Source organism: Homo sapiens, chromosome 16 (genome assembly GCF_000001405.40).
Source record: "Homo sapiens chromosome 16, GRCh38.p14 Primary Assembly".
NCBI classification, from domain to species: domain Eukaryota; kingdom Metazoa; phylum Chordata; class Mammalia; order Primates; family Hominidae; genus Homo; species Homo sapiens.
Genome location: NC_000016.10, coordinates 48,358,063 through 48,360,530, shown reverse-complemented (window position 1 = coordinate 48,360,530; position 2,468 = coordinate 48,358,063). Strand labels below are relative to the sequence as shown.

Genomic DNA, 2,468 nt, shown 5'->3' with positions numbered 1-2,468 from the left:
TCTTACTGTGTCTGCTTTAGCTCTAAGTTTGATAAAATCCGAAGTTATTTTCCTGTTTCATTCCATACTTTAATTATATAGCAGAAAGCTGTGTGTTGTCATTTTTAAGTGCGGTAGACTTAACTCTAATCACAGCAAATAACTGGGTATATGGCCTCTGGATTAGTCTTTCCCATGCCCTGCCCCTCTTGCCCACATTTTGATTCTTACAACTGTCAGGAGAATGACTAAAATGCTGACCACTTTTCACCTCTTTAAAAAAGCACAATGATATAATAAATTCACTATTTCATAGCCTAGTGGCTAAGAGCCTTGGTTCTGCAACCAGACTTCCAGGCACCTAAGTGCCAGTCTCGGCTCTACCCCACTAACCAGCTGTGTGACCTTGGGCCCCAGTTTCCTAATGTGTAAAGTGGGGTTAAATTATGGTAGATACTTAAAACCTTTAAATGGGGTACAGGTATGTTACCTGAAACAGTGCTTTGCTCATATCAGCATCCAGCGAATGTTAGCTACCATTATGCCTTCAGTACCATGTAGTTAACTGTTGCTAATTACTTTGAGGCACATGGCAAGATTCTGAAATTGCCTTCTGAATGGTGAAAGAGAATTTTGTGTGGTTTTTATGGGTACTGTAAGCCTAGAAAGTCAATGAAAATTTGGGCTTCACCCTTATCCCACCACTGATTCTGGATAATTTTGGATAAGAGTTTATTTCTGTTATCCATTTTCAGAAAAGATGATTGTGTAGTCTCTTCCTTACATAAATATCTTTTGAACTGGTTATAATGTGCTTGTGGAGCTTTTTTTTTTTGAGACGGAGTTTTACTCTTGTCACCCAGGCTGGAGTGCAGTGGCGTGATCTCGGCTCACTGCAACCTCGGCCTCCTGGGTTTAAGCGATTCTCCTTCCTCAGCCTCCAGAGTAGCTGGGACTACAGGCACGTGCCACCATGCCCGGCCAATTTTTATATTTTTAGTAGAGACGGGGTTTCACCATGTTGGCCAAGATGTTCTCAATCTCCTGACCTTGTGATCCGCCTGCCTCCCAAGTGCTGGGATTATAGGCGTGAGCCACCGCGCCCGGCCTTGCGTAGCCATTTTTATGGTGAAAGAGAACAACAGTTCAACCACAGATTTATATTCAAGTCTGTTCATTAGCATGTGTGCTTGGAAAAAGTGACTTTTATTCCATATTTAATGTTGTATGGTGAAAGGGTTACATTATAATATGTAAAAGGGCTCCCAATATCTTTCAAAATAAACGTGGCTGGACGCTGTGGCTCATACCTGTAATCCCAGCACTTTGAGAGGCCAAGGTGGGCGGATCACTTAAGGTCAGGAGTTCGAGACCAACATGGTGAAACCCTGTCTCTACTAAAAGTACAAAAAAGCCAGGCATGATGGCACACCCTATTAGGGAAGCTGAGGCAGAAGAATCCCTTGAACCCAGGAAGCGGAGGTTGCAGTGAGCCAAGATCGTATCACTGCACTCCAGCCTGGGTGACGGACTGAGACTCTTGGCTCAAAAAACAAAACATATTGGGTATATTCGTGGAGGTATATCATTTTGTAGTTTTACTATTAAGTGTTTTGATTATAAAGTTCATGTAGACTTTGGAAATTATAAAACTGCACATACAATTGAGATGTGTAATCTTAACTGTCCACTCAGGTGACATTTTTATTTTTCCAGTTTTTTTTATGTGTATGTACATATGCTCATCCTCTGTCACCCAGGCTGGAGTATAATGGTGCAATCGGTTCACTGCAGCCTCAAACTCCTGGGCTCAAGTGATCCTCCCATCTCATCCTCCTGCGTAGCTGAGAGTACAGGTGTATGGCATCATGCTTGGCTAATTAAATTTTTTTGTGGAGATGGGGTCTCGCTATGTTGCCCAGGCTGGTCTCAAACCCCTTGGGCTCAAGTGATCCTCCTGCCTTGGCCTCCTGAAGTGCTGGGATTACAGGCATGAGCAGCTGGCTCCAGCCACATGTTTATTTTCAAAGATATTGGGAGCCCTTTTATGTATTACCTTGTAGGCCTTTCATCACACAACATGGTCATCTGAGTGTTTCACCACTTTAATAATCTTGGAAAAATAATTTTTGTTAGTTTGAGGATTCACTGTAATTTTACCTAGGTTCTTGCTGGATATAAGTAAACCATGAACATACCTGTATGTTTTCTGTTTATATTCTTGGGATTATTTTTTACACACTTCATCATTGCTTTCTGGAGAGGTTCCAGAGGACACCAGTAACTGTGTGAAGTTTTCCATTTTCATTTTCACCTCATGTTTTGCTAATTTAAGCAAATTAAGGTAGTACATTTTGTGTTTAACAGTTAATAAGCTTGACATTTTAGTATTAACTATTTGCATTTGGGTCTTCATATTCTTAGCCTATAGAGGTAAGATCTATAGCCATATTTCTTGGTCCATTACACATTTGATTTATGAGGCATAA

The 2,468-nt window shown here is 41.1% G+C and overlaps 1 protein-coding gene across 2 annotated transcripts in view; it reads right to left on the bottom strand.

Annotated features, from left to right (window-relative positions):
• The window catches only part of LONP2 (lon peptidase 2, peroxisomal), a 118,704-nt gene that overhangs the window by 2,473 nt on the left and 113,763 nt on the right, over positions 1 to 2,468 (bottom strand). The window lies entirely within an intron of this gene.